Raw genomic sequence first — 24,550 nt, forward strand, 5'->3', positions numbered from 1 at the left:
CCATTTCATCTCTAATAATTTTTGCCTGTGTGCGCCTGCACATGTAGCTTAAGCTATCTAAGCCTTAGTTAGTTTTGTCATCAGTCAAAGGGGAATAGTGATATCTCCCTCTAAGGGTTGTACAACATGGTGGTTATTTATAGCACAGCTTGAATAAATGTTATTAGATGATATAGTCTCAGTCAGGTTTTCCTTGGACCATGTTTTAGTGACATATTAGACTCCAAAGAAGCAAAATGCTAGGAGCACAAGGCAGCCTAACTTGTGAGTTGATGTACAGTGTGAAGATGCACCACAGATTTAGAATTTCAGTTGACTAGAAGAATAAGTGGTAGAATTTGTCCCTGGTTGACTACTGTCTTAACTTTGTGTCTTTGGGGAAATATTTAAGCTCTCCAGACTTCTATTTCTTCATGTTTAAATCGGGAATAATATTCCTTTCTCATTTCGTAGAAATTGAAAGGAGATAAGTATGAAAGCGTTTATGAGAGTAGAAATCATGAGTGTGAAAGTTCATGCTATTATGGCACAATTGATGTTGAAAGTTAATATTACAGACCATTCCTTTTTTGCACAGTGAAAATTGTTTTATATCCATATTGGCCCCTGTCACATATTAAAATATTATTTTCTCTTATTAATTTCTATGAGAATAATACTGCCTTCATACTTTTATAAAGGGACCTAGGAAACCAATATTTGTCTAATGTTTCAGGCTAAAGAGTAAAAAGGAATAGGTATACTCTTGAAAATAGATGGCTATTGTCAATATTTTTCCTACCAAGAAAATAATTCCTTCTCTATAAAGAACTGTTACTGTTTAGAGCAATATTTTCACGATTCAAAAAGATTATCTGAGCATGTGTCCAACCATAACTGACCCCTGCAAAATATTTCTAAAAGCACTGTGCATCTAGGCTGGGAAGTATGCAAAATTAGCAAAAATCCCCTAGCATTTTCACACCAAGCCATGTGTATTTAATATACACCACCTCAAAGAGGAACATTACCACCCTAGCACTATGAGTGAGGTGAGACAGAGAGATTTCTAAGAATATATGGGTGTAATTTTCTGTTAACTGAGAGTGATTGACAGTTCGTGGAAATCTGCCCTCCAAAATAACCTGTTTTGCAGCACCCTTAGTTTTATTTGATATGAAGAAACTGCCTGCTGTTTTGACCCATTTAGCTACTAGGAACTCTATTTACTACCCTAACTGCCTAAATCCCTATGGATAAATTAGGCAGTATCTGTTTATTTTAGTTTAGATTTATTTTTAAAACCAGTGTTCCTTTGACTGTTCTTACTATTTCTATTTGAGAGTTGGTTGAAATAAGATCATGTAAATAAAAATACAATGTAGTCTAGATCTAAAGTCACTGTACATACCTAGATAATTTTTTTTTTTTTTGAGACAGGATCTTGCTCTGTCTCCCAGGCTGGAGAGCAGTGTTATGATCACAGCTTACTGCAACCTCTGGCTCCCAGATTCAGGTGATTCTCCCACCTCAGCCTCCCTAGTAGTTTGGACTACAGGTGTGTGCCACCACACCTGGCTAATTTTTGTATTTTTGTAGAGATGGGGTTTTGCCATGTTGCCCAGGCTGGTCTCGAACTCCTAGGCTCAAGTGATCTGCTCATCTTGGCCTCCCAAATGAGAAGGATTACAGGTGTGAACCACTGTGCTTGGCACCTAGAGGATTTCAATAAAATTTGAGGTCCTATAATTTTAAGATCACATTTCCAAAGGAAGGAGTTTTGCTTCTTTTCAAATGCATGGACAATGAGCAACTATATTGTTTTGGTAAAACTAGTAGTCCCAAATAAGAAAGAGGTCCTACTAGTCCCTAGTAGTCTAGTCCCTTGACTAGAAGAAAAAGTCAAGCCCAATTTATTTTATCTGCAGGACTTGGTTTAAGGGGGATTATAAAACTATCACCACATAAAGTCTTTGATGAAGAGGACATAGGGGGATGTAGGGAGTACTTCAGAGATGCATCTGGTCACTCTCGAATACATAACACATTTACATAAATATATATATCCAAGTAAACTTCAGACTTCACATATTTGTTTCCTTTTGTTTCCTTGTTGAAAATCTTTATCCAAGCTGACAATCACAGTACACTGCTCATGTAGATTCCACTGCTGAGAGCTGGAAGCTGAGAGTAGAGTGGGCTGGGGAGCGACTTTCTTGGGACTATTATGCTTTTCTTGCACTTTACTAGGTTCCTGTTCTTCCCCACCCACTACCTCTCCTGGGCACTGATTCCAGGCAAGTGAGATGCATATCTGTGGACTATGGTTAAGTGAAAGCCTTTGTTCTGGAAAGCTCTATCTGGTTTCTCTTAAGCCAGACAGACCAGCTTGCCATGAAGGCTTTCATAGGCTCTGGTCCACACTTTAGACTTCCAACTGGTCTGCTACTGACATTCTAGGCTATTGTTTCTCCAAGTAATGAATGAGTATACCATTGGTGGTGGAAGAGAGAATTTTAGATGGTACATAGACAAATGTTTTTATTGTGATTGTTATGTATTTTTAATTCATATGAGAAAAATGTTTTCCATTCATGGTAGCAATATACAGTTTCTTCTTTAAATACATTTACTTAAAAATGTGAGTTGATTTAAAGAGAAATATTAATAAGACTTCTGGGGAAACTCAGGCATGACAAAATACATGAAGGTGACATGTGAGTAGTTGAGGTTTAGAAAGCACTGCAATGTTATAGACTCTAGGCTAGCTCCCTGCCTATCCCCAGGCCAGTTAACTAGTTGAATTCTCTCAAGAGTCAGGATGTCTTTGCCTGTTGGCCTTCACCTTAAGAAAGTCAGGCAATGATGAGGAATCACACCTGAGGAGATTGTAGGAGACCTTTAACTTAAAGAGTGGTGATGAATATGAAAGAAAGAGTCATAGTATATGATCAAAGCAGAGAGGACTTTGAGACTCAGCGATTGGGATGTAGGAAGGTTTCCTGTAAAAATAAAGTCTTAACTGGGCTTCAAAGGATGAACAGGAATTATCCTGTGGAGAAAAGTAGGAGAAGAATGACATATGCCAAGTTTGTTTCTTAAAACCACAACCCCCAAATTGTGAGCTCTGGGTCTTAATTTGGTGGGGATGGGAAGCGCCAATCTATCTGTGACTTCTTTCCTGACATGGGCTTTCAAGTGCATGTAACTTGACATTTATGATTTCCTCTGCAAAAGAAGAAAGGAACAGGGTGATGGTGCCTCTGTGATCAGTTGCATTTATGGGTGCAACAGCAAAGGAGGTGGGACACCTAAGGGACAACCGTTCACGTGAAATGAAGCAGGGATGAGAAGAAATGCCCGTTTGTATTTAATACATCCCAGAAATGAACCCCTTTATTTTCTGGGACTGTTAGAGCAGGGAAACTATATATTTCTAAGAATGGGGGCTCTGCTCAAATCTTTGTATTACAGTACAAAGAAGGGTGAGGACAGGAAGCAGTGGTGATCTTGCTCTTTTTGGAAGAGTTTGTGTCTGTCCTTTTAAAGTCAGGTATGATTGATAGGAAAGTCAAGTACTGGCATCCTCAGATTGGAGAGGTTTTATTTTATTTTATTTTTTTTAATGGAGTCTTGCTCTTGTCATCCAGGCTGGAGTGCAATGCCACGATTTCAGCTCACTCCAACCTCTGCCTCTTGGGTTCAAGCAATTCTCCTGTCTCAACCTCCCAAGTAGTTGGATTACAGGCACCTGCCACCATGCCTATCTTAATTTTTGTATTTTTAGTAGAGACAGGGTTTCACCATGTTGGCCCGGCTGGTCTTGAACTCCTGACCTCAGGTGATCCACCCGCCTGGGCCTCCCAAAGTGTGGGATTACAGGTGTGAGCCACCACACCTGGCCTGAGTTTAACATAAACAAAGAAATAAAAATAATATAATCTCTCAAAATAGCAAAGAACAGGGTTGTCTAATCAAAATATATAACTATTTATTTTTAATAGCCACATTACAAAAGTAAAAAGAAACAGGTAAAATTAATTTAATTTAATTTTAAAAATATATTTTAAGGTATACAACACGGTGCTATGGGTAAAATGGTTATTACAATGAAACAAATTAACATCTCCATCATCTCACATAGTTACCTGCTTCCCTTCCCACTCCAAACCCCTCATTGCAAGAGCAGCTATAGTTTACTCATTTAGCAAAAATCCTGAACGCAATACACCATTTTTATTATTTTTTAAATTTATTTTTTTGAGACAAGGTCTCACTCTGTCACCCAGGCTGGAGTGCAGTGGCGCAATCTTGGCTCACTGCAACCTCCACCTCCCAGGCTCAAGCAATCCTCTCACCTGAGCCTTGCGAGTAGCTGGGACTACAGGCACGGGCCACCACATTTGGCTAATTTTTGTAGAGACAGGGTTTCACCATGTTGCTCAGGCTGGTCTCGAACTCCTTGGGCTTAAGTGATCTGCCCACCTCAGCCTCCCAAAGTGCTGGGATTACAGGCATGAGCCATCATGCCTGGCCTACAATGCACTAATATTAACTATAGTTGGCAGGTTGGGCATTAGATCTTCAGACTTGTTCATCCTACATATTTGCTACTTTGTATCCTTTGAGGTACATCTACCCATTTCCTCCACCCACCCTACCTCTGGTAATCACTATTTTATTCTCTATTTCTGTATATTTGACTTTTAAAAAAATTCTACATATATGTAAAATAATGCAATAGTTTTCTTTTTGTATCTGGCATATTTTACTTAATATAATTTAAATAATATACTTCATTTAACTCAATATATTTAAAGTATTTTAACATACAATGAATGTAAAAATATTGAAATGTTTTGCACTTTTTTCATGTAAATATTTAAAATTTGGGGTATATGTTATAGTACATGCCATTTAGGACATTAAATTGCCAATGGAAATAATATTCAGATTTTATAACATTTGCAGTTGAAAAAGTAGATACATGTATCCAAGTTGCTCTCAACATACTTAAAGTTTTCCAATAACTGAATTAAATATCAGTTTATCAGTTTAATATAAACAATTAGGGTAAATGAAAATAAAATTTCAGCTCTTTGGTTCCATTAGCCATGGTTCAGGAGCAGAATAGTCACCTGAGGCTAGTGACAACGCTTTTGGATCACAGGAAAGAAGAAAAAAAATCAAAATAATTTTTCTTGGTCACATTTAGCTCCTTTTCTTCCAGGATGATTACGGAGCTAGGAATTTCCTACGAAGCTGGGTGATAAAAGGACATTGGACAAAAACACAGATAGCTTCATTCTATACCAGGATCCATCACTGATTAGCTGTATTATATTTGTCTCTACTGTAATTTGAGGAGAATGATACCTGCTTCTCTATCTTGTTGGGTTTTACAGATGATGTATTGAAAGTTCAATAAAATCTATAAACAATAGATCTCTGTGGCTTGAATGGTCCTCAGATATCTTGACCAATGATTCTCAAATGCTTACCATAGACCATAATTTTTCCCCACATGACACTGCTTCATATTTTTAAGTTTTTTTTCACCAAATATTTTGTTTTACTATCTCCAAGCCCTGAAACTTTTTTTCTCCCTCAAACATGACTTCAACTTTACTATCCTGGTCCCTTTCTATTGAATGTGTTTTGTTTGTGTCTATATTTCTTATAGTGTCTTGAACTGATTGTACTTACGATATGACTTGACTAGCATAAGATAGAATAGGGCAGTCATCTTCTTTGATCTAGACTAGATGCTATCCTTCTATTAATGCAGTTGCTAGTTTTGTATTTGCTTGCTTTCAATTTTTTTTTTTCAGATTTTGGTAACCACTGTTACTTGACTCGTATCAAACTTATCAGTAGCTAAAACCCCCATTTTCCCTCTTCCTGTGCTTATTTGACTAGTTTTGTTGCGCTTTCTGAAATGTTTCTCACTTGTTTTTGACCAAAAAAATAAAAATAACAAATGCCATTGATTCTGTGTCTATACTATTTGAGGCAGTTAGGCCTTTACTTACTTCTTCCAACATTTTAAGCAGTGTTGCATTCAATTTGAACAAGAGGAATAAAAAGGCTTGAGAAATCTTAGGGAAGTGTGTCTCAAGCTTTAGCAAACAAACAACAGATCTGCAGGAGATCTTGTTAAAATGCTAAATTCTGATTCAGCAGGTCTGGAGTAGGGTCCAAGATTTTACATTTCTAGTAAGTTTCTATGGATTATGTTTTGAGCAACAAATTCTTAGAGTGTCTGAAAGGTTTTTAAAATAACTGATTTCCCTTCAAAATCTTCTTCATTAGGAGTAAAATATACATCTTCTCACTCTGTAAATCAGCTCTGAGATCTTCTATAATCTTAGCTGAGGTTTGGGTATGCAGAGTTTTGAAACTCTTATTTGCTTAAGAGAGGAGCCATGTATGATCTTCTTTTGGGTTTCCCCATTGTCTGGTAAAATGAGGAGCATTACTAAACGGCACTCACTTTTACTGAGTTTGTTTGGATCCCACAGAGAACTGAAAAAGTCACCATTATGGAAGCCTTATCAGAGAGATGGGGACAAGTCGCCCCAAAGCAGTTGTCAATATCTGGAAGATATTTTTCTAGTTGGCCTTATATTTCATTTCTATTTTCCTCAGTTCTAATTCAGTTTATCACAATTAAAAAGAAACCAATGAAAAACATAAATATTGGAGATCATTTGATTTCATTGGAGGCTGGAAAGGATAGAAAGGCTGAAAAGTGGCCGGGTGCAGTGGCTCACGCCTGTAATCCCAGCACTTTGGGAAGCCGAGGCGGGAGGATCACCTGAGGTCAGGAGTTCGAGACCAGCCTGGCCAACATGGTGAAAACCCATCTCTACTAAAAATAAATACAAAAATTAGTTGGGCGTGGTGGCACGTGCCTGTAGTTCCGGCTACTCGGGAGGCTGAGGCAGGAGACTTGCTTGAATGCAGGAAGTGGAGGTTACAGTAAGCCGAGACTGTGCCTCTGTACTCCAGCTTGGGTGACAGAGCAAGACAGAGTGTGACAGAGCAAAACACCATCTAAAAAAAAAAAAAAAAGGGAAAGAAAAAAAAGAAAAGCTGAAGGGTGTGCTGGGTCCTGTCCTGGGTGAGGGAACAACTTGTGGAAAAGTGAATTGAGGCTTATCGGAATGTTTGGGGCTCCTCAATAATGTTGGCACTCTGAGATACAGACCAAAAGTGAGGTAAAAAGCGAGTGTTTCCTTTTTTTCAGAATAGGACTTTACTCCAGATTTTCTTACTCTTCTCTTGATTCCTTCACCATCCTTGATCGACATTCACCTCAGATGCCCATGTCCCTTCTCCACCGGCATAGCTTGTTTTCTTCTTAATCTTCTTGTGTTCATCTAGCCTCACATTGCATTTGTCACACTTCGTTGAAAACCTACTGTTTGTCAAAGTGTCTTTCTAGTAATCCAGATATCTCTTCCCCCATGCCTTTGGTGTGGTTTCGGTAGAGTCATACAGAGCAGCAATGCCTTATGAAAACGAATTTTACAGAATCTGCCTGTTCATCAAAGGAGGCCAGACAGGAGGTGAGAAAAACCAGGTGTGTCCCACACCAGTCTCAATGAAGCCTTTTGGGGTGTCTTGTGCTCTTGACTAAATCTCAGATGGTACTGAATGAATAATCACCAAAGGCGTGAGCTGTTAAGGAATCCCAGTTTGGCTGGCTCTGTGCAGTCAGATGTAGCCAGCCCTGTTTATGTGTGAAAGGATTGGGTTTTCCCCAAGCTGTTTGGTAATGTTGCAAGAACAGACTTTCCCCTCCCTGGCTCCCTGGAGTAAAATGGCTGCCAAAGTATTTTGGAACAGAAACTTAGAAATGTACCGACCACTAGAAGAGAGTAACAAGGGTCCTTTGATATTTTCCGTGTTCACTATGATCAAGCTGGCATCGTTTCCTTCTGAGCTAAAGATTCTGAGCTATCATTGGCTGATGTGAGCTTGTGACCTAGCTACTTCTGTTCACAATACACTGTGGAGGGGCAGCGGGGGCAGCCCTATTTGGGTTGAGAGTCTTTAAGGAGAGCTTTACAGATGAGTTCTAGTGAAGCCCATCAGGGAGAAGAAAATCAAACACAATGGGAAATGTTTAACAATTAAAACCAGGCTTTGCCTGTGTGGTCCTGTGTTTTACCACATCACTCTATGGAAATGGGCTGTTGGAAGGAAGACTGTATTTCTGACAGTTTGCAGAGCCAAAAACCTGTTGAAGGCTTTTTGTAAGGTAGTGGAGAAAATGGCAAAACCTTTAAAACTTAAGGGAAATTACTTGATAGTTCTGATGACCACAGGCCACCAGACTGCTGGGTCATGGAATTATAGCTACATGACAAAGAAAATAGGAGGGTGGGCTGAGCCAGACTCAGAAACTATTCCAAAAGTACTATGACTTTTTAGGAAGCTAGTTCTTTTTATTTGAAATATTTTGTGTTTTTTTGCATGAGAATTAGCCTATGCTTCTTAAAAATATCATAAAATGTCAGCTAGTAGAAAAATAAAGAGTTTAATCTCCACTCCGACTACCTAGAGTCAACCCTTGTTCATACTGCAGTACATTTTTTTCTTTTAGTTCTGTTCTATGCTTTAAATAAAAATACAATTAGGTCCATATGGCAATATAATTTTGACTCCTTTTAAAACTGTAGCTTATATCATAAGTCTATTTGATGTTGTTTTGAAGTTGTCATGTACATTTTGTCATACAAGTTTTTAATGACTGTTTTTATGGGGTTGTGCCCCAAGTTACTTATTCATTCCCATGTTATCAGATATTTTGTTCTTTAGCTTTTTTTTTTTTTTTTTTTACATTATAACTAATGAGGCAATGTGTCTTGAGTATTTTGAATTAACTCTCTAGAATCGATTCTTGGGGAGGTTATTTACTTTGAAGTGATGGACAGAGTGTAGGAGATTTATGAGTGAACTCTTGTCTGATTTGGAAATATAGAGTTGTTTAGGCTAGGTATTACCAACCCAAAGTTGACACTTGAGTCACCTAAGTTCTTCTCTACTCCAGAGACTTGGCCCTGCCTGGCCTGATCCCAGGAAAAGAGATTTTAGGGATTACAGAAATGGGAACAAGTTGTGGGTCTGAGCACAGCATGCAAATTAATTCAACACAGCCCCTGGGACAGGCCCATGATCAGTGAGCTGAAACTCCCCCTTCAAGTGCTTTCATGATTAGACTCCAGCCTAGGAAGCTTGTCTATTAGTTGTGTAATCTTGAAAAAATCTCTGACACTTTTCCCTCTGACTCAGTTTCCCCATCTGGCACCCAATCTTTTACAGTGTTATGAAAAATAGGGAAAATGTAGAAAGGAAGAACATGGCACCCAATCCTTAATGGACACTCAGTGAAAGCTGGCTATCATCATCATTTTTGGGGTTGTTGTGTTCTACAAATGTATTTTCCCAGGAGTTTTTTTTACTCTGTCTCCTCTTTCCTTCATATACCCCCAGCCTGTGGCTGGGGTCTTGCTTCAACCACCATGCACCTTTCTGAAACCCAAGTTTTACTCCCTGATAAAGGTATTGACCTCTTGTTGGTCTCATCCTCCAGACCTACCTATACTTAAGAAAATGACATCTCTTTAAACTGGTCCCCAGTTCACTTGTTTTCCCTAACATTTTAATTCACAAGATTAATCACTTCCCTTACAGGCCAGTCTTACTGCAGAGTTGATTTTTATAATTTTGGGCCTGTTGGTCTGGTTGTACTTTTCTCTTTCTGCTGGTCTGCTAGTTATAGCGGGTCTTGAAAGCAGTGATATGTTATGACATTGTCATCACCCTCATTATTGCTCTTTATATAACAGTAGCAGCATAACTGTGTTTTGATTTCTTGTACAAGGCATAAAGTGTGCTAGTGGCTCACTATTCACATCAATCTCATCAGAAAATGTTATTTCCTCCTTTTGTTGATCATGATATAGAGGCCCAGTGACATTAGGTAACTTGCTCAAGATCACACATGTGGAAAGCTACAGAGCCAGACTTGGAACTGAGTCCATTATATCTTAATCCCACTGCACTCCAAAATTTGTTGAATGAAGGAATAGATAAACGTATCATGATTTTGATGTTCTGACTAATTCGTAGCCAGTACTTTATTGCTATCGGAGCTTAAGCTTTAAGTACTGGCTAGGAAATAGTCAGAACTTTATTTTTAAGGAGGAGCATATAATTATGTATATTTTATACCTGTAGTAAATTGGGAACTATAGAAAACATGTAGAGGATTGTGTTTACCAACTTCATGTAGAGTGAGGATACCCGACTCTAGCTTGCTGGTAGTTAGGTAAGTCAGACATGGGCAGGGGATAAACCAAATTAGACTATTTCCATTTGACTAAGCCATATAATCAGGTGTAAGCCACGGAAAGAAATCTGGAAAGACAGGTGCAATATTAGAAGATGGCTCATGATAGTGATCATTAGAGGTTCAGGCTTGAGAAAGCCAATTGGAATCAAGAAGGCCTAATCCTGGGGTTCTGTCACAGAAAAGAAGGCTGGTAGCAGGAAGAGGACATGTAACATGAATTACATGATTAGATTTGTGTCATAATAACAAAAACAATAATGATAATAACACTAATAGCTTGTTATATGCCATGCCCTGTACTAAGAACTATACGTATGTTATCCCATCTAAATCACATTTAATAGATTCCCATTTTTCTCATGAGAAAATTGCATCATACAGAGATGAACTAACTTGCTCAAGGCTATAGACCTGGTAATTAGCAAAGCAGGGATTTGAATTTAGATGTATTTTTCTCTGAAGGCTGGGTTTAGATAAATGGATCTGGAAGCACTGGGAAGGATGAATTAATGGGATGGAGTGCAGGGGATGCAGAGTGCCCACTTATGGAATGATTTCATTCAAGAGAGACAGGAGGGTCAGAGGTAAGAATGCTACCGCTGGGACAGAGAGGAAGGTACAGATATGAGATATGGTAAGAAGGTATACTACAACAGTGGCTCCCAAATCTCAATGAGTAGCCAGTTCTCATGGAGGTTTTGTTTTTATTTTTGAATGAAGATTCCCATGGCATACCTTGAATATTCTGAATCAGAATCTCTGGAATACAACTTGGTATTCTTATAAAGCACCCTAGGTGATGCTGAAGCTCTGCCAGGTTCAAGAACCACAGCTCGATCAGCCTATATTTAGATGTTTGGGGTGGAGAATGAGAGAAAGAAAAGATTTTAGGGTGGCATCCAGGTTTCTGAATTTTGTGACTCAGTGAAGTTTTTGGAGGGTAGGTAAGATGCTGAGTTCAGTTTTGGATGTGTTGAGATGGACTGGTCCTGTGGATTTAGTTGGATATTAGAGTCTAACGCTTAGAACAGAGGTCAAGGCTGTAGATTTAGATATGGAGGACACTGGTGTTTGGGTGGTGATGGCGCTATATATTACATGGAATTTTCAAAATACTCAAAACTTCAGTTTTCCCTCAATAATTAATCACTTTACATCTTTGTGATCTTAAATCTCTTTCTGACCATTGATTGAAACTTTTGCTTTTAAAATTTACATTACCTTTCTTAACAGTTCCTTAAGATTCATGCATTGTTGTAAGTAGTTACTTGCACCATTTCATTGGATTCACACCAACAATTGTTAAAGTAAAATTTATTTTTCCTGTGTTTTAGATGAAGAGATTTAGGCAGGTTATGTAACACACCCAAGGTAATATAGTCAAATAATTGAGCCAGAATTTGAGCCCAAGTCTCTTTCTGACTCTAGGCTTAGAGCTTTAGGGCTATTTCACAAAAGGGCTGTTCCTAGGTCAGGCATGACAACTTCTATATTACCTTCGTAAAAGAAGCAATATAATCTACCACTATTAAATTTTGCAGGTTAATTTTATATTATGTTTAAATACAGAAAACTTTATTTAAAACTCAGTTGAATTTCTCTTGAGAAATTGGCCATGTAGTAAATTATATTTAATAGAAGAGTTTGTGTACTTCCCAGGGAGCAGAGTATTGGCCTGATCAAAGCACCTTTCAGCCTTTGTCTAACAGCATGTGGGTAGGCTACATTTTTTTTACTCTCAGAGAAAGGGGGTGGGCAGGGGTGTGATATGGGTTTTTGTCTCTGGGAGTTCTGTTGCATGATTTGACCTCCCAAATTGTTTTGTGGGGCATATCCAACTTTGGGTTGAAACTAAAATGGGTTCTTGGTAATCCCAGATTGAAAATATGTCTCAGCAGTAACATTGTTTATCTTTAGGTTTAGGTAAATACAGACATTTGCCATGTCTTCTTGGTAGCACTGTAAGAATGAGTAGGGCTGTGAAAAATGCACAGGGCATTCATTATGAAGACTGGCTGGTTAAAACTGATACACTAAAGAAATTGCATTCTTTTCCACAAGCTGAGTCATACAGCTGAAATTGTGGAATCATCTGAGCCAGCAGCTGTAATATGATACTTAATCTCCATAAGTGACAGATATCTAAGATAACACGAACACCCAGACGACAACTCAGGCAACCCCAGCACAGTGTTTTGGTATGAGAACAGGAGAAATGTTAGTAGAGTGAACATTTTTCCACAGAGAACTCAAATATGGTAACATTCTCATAGCTTTGATAATCCCCAATAAACTGTGGTTACTAAAATGCATGACAAAAAGAACTTCTATCTATAAAGAACTTCTTTATACATTTCCAATACTTGGGTTATGATCAAGGAGAAAAAAGTTTATCAGTTAATTAAGAGTTAGGTAGCTAGTTTGCCCACAGATTAATTTGTATGAGGTAAAGGAAATCTCACCTAACTGGGAAAAAGCAAGCTTACCCTCAAGGTATGCTTATCCCAACCCCACCCTGCCAAGTGCATTCCTTATTCCTCAGGTGTGCCTGTTTATCCCAAGGACCTAGCCACACCTACATCTTGTTCTGGCCCCACACCAAGGAACATATAAAAGTTCCCTCTCTGGCCGGGCGCGGTGGCTCACGCCTGTAATTCCCAGCACTTTGGGAGGCTGAGGCGGGCGGATCACGAGGTCAGGAGATCAAGACCACCCTGGCTAACACGGTGAAACCCCGTCTCTACTAAAAAATACAAAAAATTAGCCAGGTGTGGTGGCGGGCCCCTGTAGTCCCAGGTACTCGGGAAGCTGAGGCAGGAGAATGGCGTGAACCCTGGAGGAGGAGCTTGCAGTGAGCCGAGATCGTGCCACTGCACTCCAGCGAGGGCAACAGAGCGAGACTCCGTCTCAAAAAAAAAAAAAAAAAAAAGTCCCTCTCTTTATATCTCAGGGTATCTTGGAGTCACTACTGATCCTTGACCTCCCTCCTTTCTCTGACCATGTCTAGACAAGTGTCCAGGTCTCCTGTGCCAAATGTCTATTTGTTGCCTGGATTAGGTTTTGACTTGTTTTTCTATTTCTTTGCATCTCGTAGCCCATTTCTTTGATTCAATTTCACAATCTCTTGATTTTGTCCTTAAGTATTTGGCAACACAAACCCTCGAGAGGCAGGATAGTTCAACAGAAAGAAGATGAACCTTGGGGGTCAGAAGATTCAAACTTCCAGAATTTAAATCTTCATTCTGCTATTACTAGATTTATAAACTTTATCAAATCACTCTCCTACTCTATCCCTTAATTCAACATATTTAAAATTGGAATAAAAATCTCAATGTGGTAGAGTTATTATTGAGATGAAAATCAGAATAGATACAAAGAACTTGATAGCCCCAAGGAGCTTGATCAGTGTTTGTTTAATGGCCCTTCCTCTCTTCTCATATCTCAGTTCAGATCCTACTCAGCCATTTATTTTATTCTGCTCCTTTTGGAGTAGAGAATAAAGCCAAGAATTATGCTTAAAAAGTAGCATAATTAAAAGTATTTAAAACACAAGTAACTTGAGAAAGGTGAGTTGGAAGTTTATATCTAACCTCAGTTTTTTTTGGAGAGAAATTTACCCGTCAGGGCCAGATTAAAACATTTACAAGTCCCAAGCACACGTGAGATGAAGATGCCCCTCACTTATCTCACATGTAAGTTGAAAGTTAAAAAGTGAAAATGTCTACTAGAGTTCAATAATATTCTTTTTTTCCCATGACTTCTCTGAAGCTTTTAGAAAATATGAAATTCTTAAAAACAATAACAGTAACCCACATTTTTATTGCCCTGGTTTGCCCTATCTTATCTTTCTCCTGCTCACAGGGTCTGAGGCAGCTGGGATAGGGGAGAATGATTACCAGCCAATCAATATTTTTTGAACCCCAGAGATTATTTATTTATCTATCCATTTATTTATTTTGAGATCTTATTTTATCTGGAATCTTAATAAACGATTAGTTTCCAAACTGTATCTACTGTGTGTATTTTATCCATATGGCCCAGATTTGTATTACTTATTTGTGATTCTGAATAATATTTTTTCCAACATTAATTATCAGCCTCTCTGTGCCCCTCCAGAATTGTTACAACCTATGTTAATGCACACTATGGCAAGCCATGTGAATTGCCTACGCAGGGAAGTTTTCTTCATACTTCCTTGCCAAGAGAACCCCATTATTGGTCAGTTACTAGTCACATGATCTTCTTTAGCCCCTCCTTAGCCCCTGTAGTGAATCAGGAGTAGCCTAAGGCCATGGTGGTAACTCCCCTTTTTCTTGGAAATGTTTGATTTAGATATGGAGAAGAGGTGCAACTTTGCTTATGAAATGGGAGGGCAAATATGGGAAACTTTAAGGTAAGTTTTCTTTCCCCTTGAAGGGGACCAAAAAGTTGTGGTTTATACTTTCTTGACTCTGGTCACTGTTGGGTGAAGAGTTGGTGCTATGGAAGCCATCTTCAGACCATGAGGGGACAAGTCTGAGGATACAATTACATGCTACCGGTGGCAGAGGACAGTATAGCAAGAAACTGGATCCCTGATGACATTGAACCATTGACTGAATCTACCCTGGAACCATCAGGAAATAATCCTTAGTTTTTTAAAGATGCTTTTAGTTGTGTTTTTTATTACAAGTACCTGAAAGCATCCTAACTAATCAATGCTAAATGCATCTCTCACAGTTTATGCTTATTTTTCAGAAATGCCTAGTGGAAATTTCTATTGCTGATTATAATATTTGTCCTAAATAAATTGAATAGACTGTCAATCTTTTGAAAATAAAAGCATGACTTGATTAGCAATTGTTTAGTCTGATGTTTTCCTAATTTCTGTCATTTGCATACCACTTCTTTGATTTTGTCATATCCTTGTATCATCTGCACTAATAGAAATATTTTTCCTTAAGTTGTCTCTCCTTTAAAAAATTATATCCATTTATTTTGAAGAGAAACTTTTTCACTAACTATAAATTGAAAACCGATATCATTTGCCTTAAATAGAAGATTGTCATAAAAAGAAATGCCATGAGTGAAATAATGTTATTAAATATTTGCCAGATATAGTTTCCTATGAAGACTCTGAGCTTGTGGCTTGCTGTCTCTGTTGAAAGGAGAGACTAGGGAGTGTTATAGAAGTGGTAAAATAATCCTTCCACTGACTGAGACTATTTCCTTGCCACAATCAGAAGAACTAAAAGAAAGGAGGATATCTGTTAATATATGAATTTATCTAAATGTCATGCAGTGACTTCTAAAATCATCTGGTGTGCTCTGTTTCCCCTTGGAGGTGACTTAGGCCTGGCATCCCAAACAATACATACTGGAGTGAAGCTCCAGGAAACCCTGAGGAGAAGAGAAGGGCTTAAAGAGCAATCAGCCTTCGATTGCTGGGATTATGAAAGGTCGTAAGAAGCGAATGTTGCAATGTTTTATTATACTTGATATTGAAGCAAGGACAAGTAATAATTTATTATTCTCTCCATGTCAGTGGTATTTACCTTTTTGGAATCATGTGCCCCATTGAGAATTTCTGGAAAACCATGGTTCTTCTACTCAGGAGAATGCACAATTGCACACATACACAAATGTGCAAGCACACACACACACACACACACACACAGAATTGCCACAGAAGGTCAGTAGGTTCACAGGCCCTAGGCTAAGAACCAGCATTCTGTATATTTTACATGTGTTCTCTTACAAGTTACCGTGTGATTCAGTTCACTCCAAACTGCGGTTAAGTGCAAAACATGGTTTTGAATATTTCTATCAATTAGTAAGAGTGGTATGTTAATTTAAATACACCAAAGTGGAGAATTACTGTCCTCTCAATAGCTACTTTAAATAGACATAAGTTACAGTGATATTGCCTTCCAGGAGGCTTCAAGAAATGAGATCAGGCTCTATAAAAGAAAATCACCCAACCCTATAAAGTCATCTTTATGAACTTTGAAACACCACTGTATGTACCTAGTAAAAATTATTCCTGGGTAAGCAGACTCCCAGGCCTGGGTGGAGTTCACATGAGTCCCTTTGCTAAAATAAACAGAAGTGACTGGGAACTTTGGATTGCCTTTGTCTGAACTTGAGTGTCTGGATGGATCAGCATCAGCAGCATACCACACACCTGCTTGTCCAGCCAAAGAGAAACCCAAAGACTTGGCATTTGTTTTTTACATTGTCAACTGTGCAAAAATATCACGATTCTAATTTATGAGGGTCCATGAGTTTTAAAAACACCCCCTGACATTTTTCTAGCCAAATAATTTTTCCTTTAAAAGGCACAGGATGAGCAACAAGATTAGGTAGATCACTTCAATCTCTAATTTCAAAAGATAATAGTTAAAAATTCAACTGTAGGACTAACACATTAACTATGTAATAAGACCCAGAATAGTCTTTGGAGCAAATTTCAGTGGATACTTGATCAAAATAATGTTGAAGACAAAATCTTGAATTGATGATATTTATCTGATACAATTATTTACATAACAAATGTTAAAAGAATTAGAAAAATTTCATAGGTAAGATGTTCATTATCTTCAAGTGAAGTTACTTGCTTTATATTAAGAACCACAAAAACTTACTAAACTTTTTTTTTTAAAAGGGTCTCACTCTGTCACCCAGGCTGGACCGGAGTGGCTCAATCACAGCTCACTGCAGCCTTGATCTACCCAGATTCAAGTGATCTTCCCACCTCTGCCTCCCAAGTAACTGGGACTATAGGCACATGCCACCATGCCTGGCTAATATCTCTCTTTTCTTTTTTTTTCCCCTTATTTTGTAGGGACAAGTTTTCTCCATGTTGCTGAGGCTGGTCTTGAACTCCTGGGCTCAAGTGATCCTCCTACCTCAGCCTCCCAAAGTGCTGGAGTTATAGGCATGAGCTACTTTGCCCCCTAGCAGACGTCTTACTTTTTTTTTTAATTTGGTATTAGATTGAGCCAATGACTAATTTCAAACATTTATAAATTACTAAATTCTTTTTTTTAATTATACTTTACGTTTTAGGGTACATGTGCACAACGTGCAGGTTTGTTACCTATGTATACATGTGCCATGTTGGTGTGCTGCACCCAGTAACTCGTCATTTAATATTAGGTATATCTCCTAATGCTATCCCTCCCCCCTCCCCCCACCCCACAACAGGCCCCGGTGTGTGATGTTCCCCTTCCTGTGTCCATTTGTTCTCATTGTTCAATTCCCACCTATGAGTGAGAACATGCAGTGTTTGGTTTTTTGTCCTTGTGATAATTTGCTGAGAATGATGGTTTCCAGCTTCATCCATGTCCCCACAAAGGACATGAACTCATCCTTTTTTATGGCTGCATAGTATTCCATGGTGTATATGTGCCACATTTTCTTAATCCACTCTATCATTGTTGGACATTTGGGTTGGTTCCAAGTCTTTGCTATTGTCAATAGTGCCACAATAAACATACGTGTGCATGTGTCTTTATAGCAGCATGATTTATAATCCTTTGGGTATAGACCCAGTAATGGGATGGCTGGGTCAAATGGTATTTCTAGTTCTAGATCCCTGAGGAATCGACACACTGACTTCCACAACGGTTGAACTAGTTTACAGTCCCACCAGCAGTGTAAAAGTGTTCCTATTTCTCCACATCCTCTCCAGCACCTGTTGTTTCTTGACTTTTTAATGATCGCCATTCTGACTGGTGTCAGATGGTATCTCATTGTGGTTTTGATTTGCATTTCTCTGATGCCCAGTGATGATGAGCAATTTTTCATGTGTCTTTTGGCTGCATAAATGTCTTCTTTTGAGAAGTGTCTGTTCATATCCTTCACCCACTTTTTGATGGGGCTGTTTTTTTTTCTTGTAAATTTGTTTGAGTTCATTGTAGATTCTGGATATTAGCCCTTTGTTGGATGAGTAGATTGCAAATATTTTCTCCCATTCTGTAGGTTGGCTGTTCACTCTGATGGTAGTTTCTTTTGCTGTGCAGAAGTTCTTTAGTTTAATTAGATCCCATTTGTCAATTTTGGCTTTTGTTGCCATTGCTTTTGGTGTTTTAGACATGAAGTCCTTGCCCATGCCTATGTCCTGAATGGTATTGCCTAGGTTTTCTTCTAGGGTTTTTATGGTTTTAGGTCTAACATTTAAGTCTTTAATCCATCTTGAACTAATTTTTGTATAAGGTATAAGGAAAGGATCCAGTTTCAGCTTTCTACATATGGCTAGCCAGTTTTCCCAGCACCATCTATTAAATAGGGAATCCTTTCCCCATTGCTTGTTTTTATCAGGTTTGTCAAAGATCAGATTGTTGTAGATATGTGGCATTATTTCTGAGCGCTTTGTTCTGTTCCATTGGTCTATATCTCTGTTTTGGTACCAGTACCATGCTGTTTTGGTTACTGTAGTCTTGTAGTATAGTTTGAAGTCAGGTAGCGTGATGCCTCCAGCTTTGTTCTTTTGGCTTAGGATTGACTTGGCAATGCAGGCTCTTTTTTGGTTCCATATGAACTTTAAAGTAGTTTTTTCCAGTTCTGTGAAGAAAGTCATTGGTAGCTTGATGGGGATTGCATTGAATCTATAAATTACTTTGGGCAGTATGGCCATTTTCATGTTATTGATTCTTCCTACCCATGAGCATGGAATGTTCTTCCATTTGTTTGTATCCTCTTTTATTTCATTGAGCAGTGGTTTGTAGTTCTCCTTGAAGAGGTCCTTCACATCCCTTGCAAGTTGGATTCCTAGGTATTTTATTCTCTTTGAAGGAATTGTGAATGGGAGTTCACTCATGATTTGGCTCTCTGTCTGTTATTGGTGTATAAGAATGCTTGTGATTTTCGCACATTGATTTTTTATCCTGAGACTTTGCTGAAGTTGCTTATCAGCTTGAGGAGATTTTGGCTGAGACGATGGGGTTTTCTAGATATACAATCATGTCATCTGCAAACAGGGACAATTTGACTTCCTCTTTTCCTAATTGAATACTATTTATTTCCTTCTCCTGCCTGATTGCCGTGGCCAGAACTTCCAACACTATGTTGAATAGGAGTGGTGAGAGAGGGCATCCCTGTCTTGTGCCAGTTTTCAAAGGGAATGCTTCCAGGTTTTGCCCATTCAGTATGATATTGGCTGTGGTTTTGTTATAGATAGCTCTTATTATTTTGAGATACATCCCATCAATACCTAATTTATTGAGAGTTTTTAGCATGAAGGTTGTTGAATTTTGTCAAAGGCCTTTTCTGCATCCGTTGAGATTATCATATGGTTTTTGTCGTTGGTTCTGTTTATATGCTGGATTATGTTTATTGATTTGCGTATGTTGAACAAGCCTTGCATCCCAGGGATGAAGCCCACTTGATCATGGTGGATAAGCCTTTTGGTGTGCTACTGGATTCAGTTTGCCAGTATTTTATTGAAGATTTTTGCATCGATGTTCGTCAGGGATATTGGTCTAAAATTCTCTTTTTTTTGTTGTGTCTCTGCCAGGCTTTGGTATCAGGATGATTCTGGCCTCATAAAATGAGTTGGGGAGAATTCCCTCTTTTTCTATTGAATGGAATAGTTTCAGAAGGAATGGTACCAGCTCCTCTTTGTACCTCTGGTAGAATTCGGCTGTGAATCCATCTGGTCCTGGACTTTTTTTGGTTGGTAAGCTATTAATTATTGCCTCAATTTTAGAGCCTGTTATTGCTTTATTCAGAGATTCAACTTCTTCATGGTTTAGTCTTGAGAGGATGTATGTGTCGAGGAATTTATCCATTTCTTCTAGATTTTCTAGTTTATTTGCATAGAGGTGTTTATAGTATTCTCTGATGGTAGTTTGTATTTCTGTGGGATTGGTGGTGATATCCCCTTTTAATTTTTTATTGTGTCTATTTGATTCTTCTCTCTTTTCTTCTTTATTAATCTTGCTAGTGGTCTATCAATTTTGTTGATCTTTTCAAAAAACCAGCTCCTGGATTCATTGATTTTTTTGGAGGGTTTTTTGTGTCTCTATTTCCTTCAGTTCTGCTCTGATCTTAGTTGTTTCTTGCCTTCTGCTAGCTTTTGAATCTGTTTGCTCTTGCTTCTATAGTTCTTTTAATTGTGATGTTAGGGTGTCAATTTTAGATCTTTGCTCCTTTCTCTTGTGGGCATTTAGTGCTATAAATTTCCCTCTACACACTGCTTTGAATGTGTCCCAGAGATTCTGGTATGTTGTGTCTTTGTTGTCTTTGGTTTCAAAGAACATCTTTATTTCTGCCTTCATTTTGTTATGTACCCAGTAGTCATTCAGGAGTGGGTAGTTCAGTTTCCATGTAGGTGAGCGGTTTTGAGTGAGTTTCTTAATCTTGAGTTCTAGTTTGCACTGTGGTCTGAGAGACAGTTTGTTATAATTTCTGTTCTTTTACATTTGCTGAGGAGTGCTTTACTTCCAACTATGTGGTCAATTTTGGAATAAGTGCAGTGTGGTTCTGAGAAGAATGTATATTCTGTTGATTTGGGGTGGAGAGTTCTGTAGATGTCTATTAGGTCCGCTTGGTGCAGAGCTGACTTCAATTCCTGGATATCCTTGTTAACTTTCTGTCTCGTTGATCTGTCTAATGTTGACAGTGGGGTGTTAAAGTGTCCTATTATTATTGTGTGGGAGTCTAAGTCTCCTTGTAGGTTTCTAAGGACTTGCTTTATGAATCTTGGTGCTCCTGTATTGGGTGCATACAGATTTAGGATAGTTAGCTCTTCTTGTTGAATTGATCCCTTACCATTATGTAATGGCCTTCTTTGTCTCTTTTGATTTTGTTGGTTTAAAGTCTGTTTTATCAGAGACTAGGATTGCAACCCCTGCCTTTTTTTGTTTTCCATTTGCTTGGTAGATCTTCCTCCATCCCTTTATTTTGAGCCTATGTGTGTTTCTGCACATGAGATGGGATTCCTGAATACAGCACACTGATGGGTCTTGACTCTTTATCCAATTTGCCAGTCTGTGTCTTTTAATTGGAGCATTTAGCCCATTTACATTTAAGGTTAATATGTTATGTGTGAATTTGATCCTGTCATTATGATGTTAGCTGGTTATTTTGCTCATTAGTTGATGAAGTTTCTTCCTAGCCTTGATGGTCTTTACAATTTGGCATGTTTTTGCAGTGGCTGGTAGTGGTTGTTCCTTTCCATGTTTAGTGCTTTCTTCAGGAACTCTTTTAGGGCAGGCCTGGTGGTGACAAAATCTCTTAGCATTTGCTTTTCTGTAAAGTATTTTATTTCTCCTTCACTTATGAAGCTTAGTTTGGCTGGATATGAAATTCTGGGTTGAAAATTCTTTTCTTTAAGAATGTTGAATATTGGCCCCCACTCTCTTCTGGCTTGTAGAGTTTCTACCGAGAGATCAGCTGTTAGTCTGATGGGCTTCCCTTTGTGGGTAACCCGACCTTTCTCTCTGGCTGCCCTTAACATTTTTTCCTTCATTTCAACTTTGGCAAATCCGACAATTATGTGTCTTGGAGTTGCTCTTCTTGAGGAGTATCTTTGTGGCATTCTCTGTATTTCCTGAATTTGAATGTTGGCCTGCCTTGCTAGATTGGGGAAGTTCTCCTGGATAATATCCTGCAGAGTGTTTTCCAACTTGGTTCCATTCTGCCCGTCACTTTCAGGTACTCCAATCAGAAGTAGATTTGGTCTTTTCACATAGTCCCATATTTCTTGGAGGCTTTGTTTGTTTCTTTTTATTCTTTTTCCTCTAAACTTCTTGCTTCTTTTCATTCATTTGATCTTCCATCACTGATACCCTTTCTTCCAGTTGATCGAATCGGCTACTGAGGCTTGTGCATTCGTCATGTAGTTCTCGTGCCTTGGTTTTCAGCTCCGTCAGGTCCTTTAAAGACTTCTCTGCGTTGGTTATTCTAGTTAGCCATTTGTCTAATTTTTTTTCAAGGTTTTTAACTTCTTTGCCATGGGTTCGAACTTCCTCCTTTAGCTTGGAGTAGTTTGATCATCTGAAGACTTCTTCTCTCAACTCGTCAAAGTCATTCTCCATCCAGCTTTGTTCCATTGCTGGTGAGGAGCTGCATTCCTTTGGAGGAGGAGAGGCACTCTGATTTTTAGAGTTTCCAGTTTTTCTGCTCTGTTTTTTCCCATCTTTGTGGTTTTATCTACCTTTGGTGTTTGATGATGGTGACGTACAGATGGGGTTTTGGTGTGGATGTCCTTTCTGTTTGTTAGTTTTCCTTCTAACAGTCAGGACCCTCAGCTGCAGGTCTGTTGGAGTTTGCTGGAGGTCCACTCCAGACGCTGTTTGCCTGGGTATCAGCAGCGGAGGCTGCAGAACGGCGAATGTTGCTGAACAGCAAATGTTCCTGCCTGATTGTTCCTCTGGAAGCTTCGTCTCAGAGGGGTACCCAGCCGTGTGAGGTGTCAGTCTGCCCCTACTGGGGGGTGCCTCACAGTTAGGCTACTCGGGGGTCAGGGACCCACCTGAGGAGGCAGTCTGTCCATTCTCAGATCTCAAACTGGTTTCAAAGAACATCTTTATTTCTGCCTTCATTTTGTTATGTACCCAGTAGTCATTCAGGAGTGGGTAGTTCAGTTTCCATGTAGGTGAGCGGTTTTGAGTGAGTTTCTTAATCTTGAGTTCTAGTTTGCACTGTGGTCTGAGAGACAGTTTGTTATAATTTCTGTTCTTTTACATTTGCTGAGGAGTGCTTTACTTCCAACTATGTGGTCAATTTTGGAATAAGTGCAGTGTGGTTCTGAGAAGAATGTATATTCTGTTGTTTTGGGGTGGAGAGTTCTGTAGATGTCTATTAGGTCCGCTTGGTGCAGAGCTGACTTCAATTCCTGGATATCCTTGTTAACTTTCTGTCTCGTTGATCTGTCTAATGTTGACAGTGGGGTGTTAAAGTGTCCTATTATTATTGTGTGGGAGTCTAAGTCTCCTTGTAGGTTTCTAAGGACTTGCTTTATGAATCTTGGTGCTCCTGTATTGGGTGCATACAGATTTAGGATAGTTAGCTCTTCTTGTTGAATTGATCCCTTACCATTATGTAATGGCCTTCTTTGTCTCTTTTGATTTTGTTGGTTTAAAGTCTGTTTTATCAGAGACTAGGATTGCAACCCCTGCCTTTTTTTGTTTTCCATTTGCTTGGTAGATCTTCCTCCATCCCTTTATTTTGAGCCTATGTGTGTTTCTGCACATGGTGATGGGAGGTACTGGTATTACAAAAAGCTTCTCCCCCGTGGGTCAAATCTAAGCTGAGTGTTGAGACATAATTGAAATTCACTAGATAGATAGGAGATAGGGGTAGGGAATTCTAATCAGAGGGAATAGCACATGTAAGGCAAACAATACAGTGCATCTGGGAAAGCTATACAATTTTATTGTTATAGGACAAATGTTGGGGAATGTTGAGAGATGGAACTGGAGAGTGAGGCAGAAGTTAGCATTTATTCATTTATTCAGCAGACCTTTATCTATTACCTACATTGCACTAAGTACTGTGTGAGCATTAGAGAGAAAAAGATGAATGAGATTGGACACCATTCGTTCATTCCTGACTATGAACTTGGCATTGTTCTAGGTACCAGAGATATAATAATGAGAAACAGACATGCTCCCTCCCCTCATTGAGGTTACAGCTTAGTGTGGAGACACACAGATGCCTAACGCACTATGGTATGGAAGGTGCTATGGACACAGTGCTCAAATCCATGATCTACATAGGTATGAGAGTGACTTTTCTACAACTTAAATCTGATCTTGTTATTCCCTGCTTAAAATCCTGCAGTAGCTCCCAGTAGTGCCTTCTGGTTAAAATACAAGATATATAGTATGACCTCTCAAGGACCTTTGTTATTTGTCTCTGGCCACCTCTCCAATTTTTCACCATGACCCTGGCCCTGTCCCACTGGCATTCCATCTCCAATCACACGGAACTATGTGGAGTTATTAAAATGCCCTATGTTATTTCAAGACTCAGAGATTTAGTGCCTCAGCCTGTTTTGTTCCCTCTCCCCTCCTCCACCTGGCCTTCTCCAGCTCACTCATCAATCTATTAGACTCAGGCATCATCTGCTTGCCTTCGTAACCCTCCCCACCCCGCTCACCTTGCTGGATTCTGTGCCTTTGCTTGCTGGTTCCCAGAGATCCCTGCCCTTATTTTTCTTTGCCTGCTGGATTTGCAGTGTTGTGTCCTATATGGTGTAGAAAACCAGCTCAGGCTCCCACT

The 24,550-nt window shown here is 39.0% G+C and overlaps 1 long non-coding RNA gene across 27 annotated transcripts in view; it reads left to right on the plus strand.

Annotated features, from left to right (window-relative positions):
* The window catches only part of CDKN2B-AS1 (CDKN2B and CDKN2A antisense cis and trans regulatory RNA 1), a 133,352-nt gene that overhangs the window by 77,679 nt on the left and 31,123 nt on the right, over nucleotides 1–24,550 (plus strand). For 6 of the 27 annotated variants that reach the window (NR_003529.4, NR_185851.1, NR_185854.1 and 3 more), the window contains one exon: nucleotides 23,903–24,045. The exons of 15 other annotated variants lie outside the window; for them this stretch is intronic. This is a non-coding gene — a long non-coding RNA (CDKN2B and CDKN2A antisense cis and trans regulatory RNA 1). Of the gene's footprint in view, nucleotides 1–5,209; nucleotides 5,966–19,838; nucleotides 20,001–23,902; nucleotides 24,046–24,550 lie in introns of those variants that run through there. 6 more of the 27 variants (NR_047539.2, NR_047540.2, NR_047541.2 and 3 more) reach the window with 2 other exon arrangements.

Source organism: Homo sapiens, chromosome 9 (genome assembly GCF_000001405.40).
Source record: "Homo sapiens chromosome 9, GRCh38.p14 Primary Assembly".
Classification (NCBI taxonomy): Eukaryota; Metazoa; Chordata; class Mammalia; order Primates; family Hominidae; genus Homo; species Homo sapiens.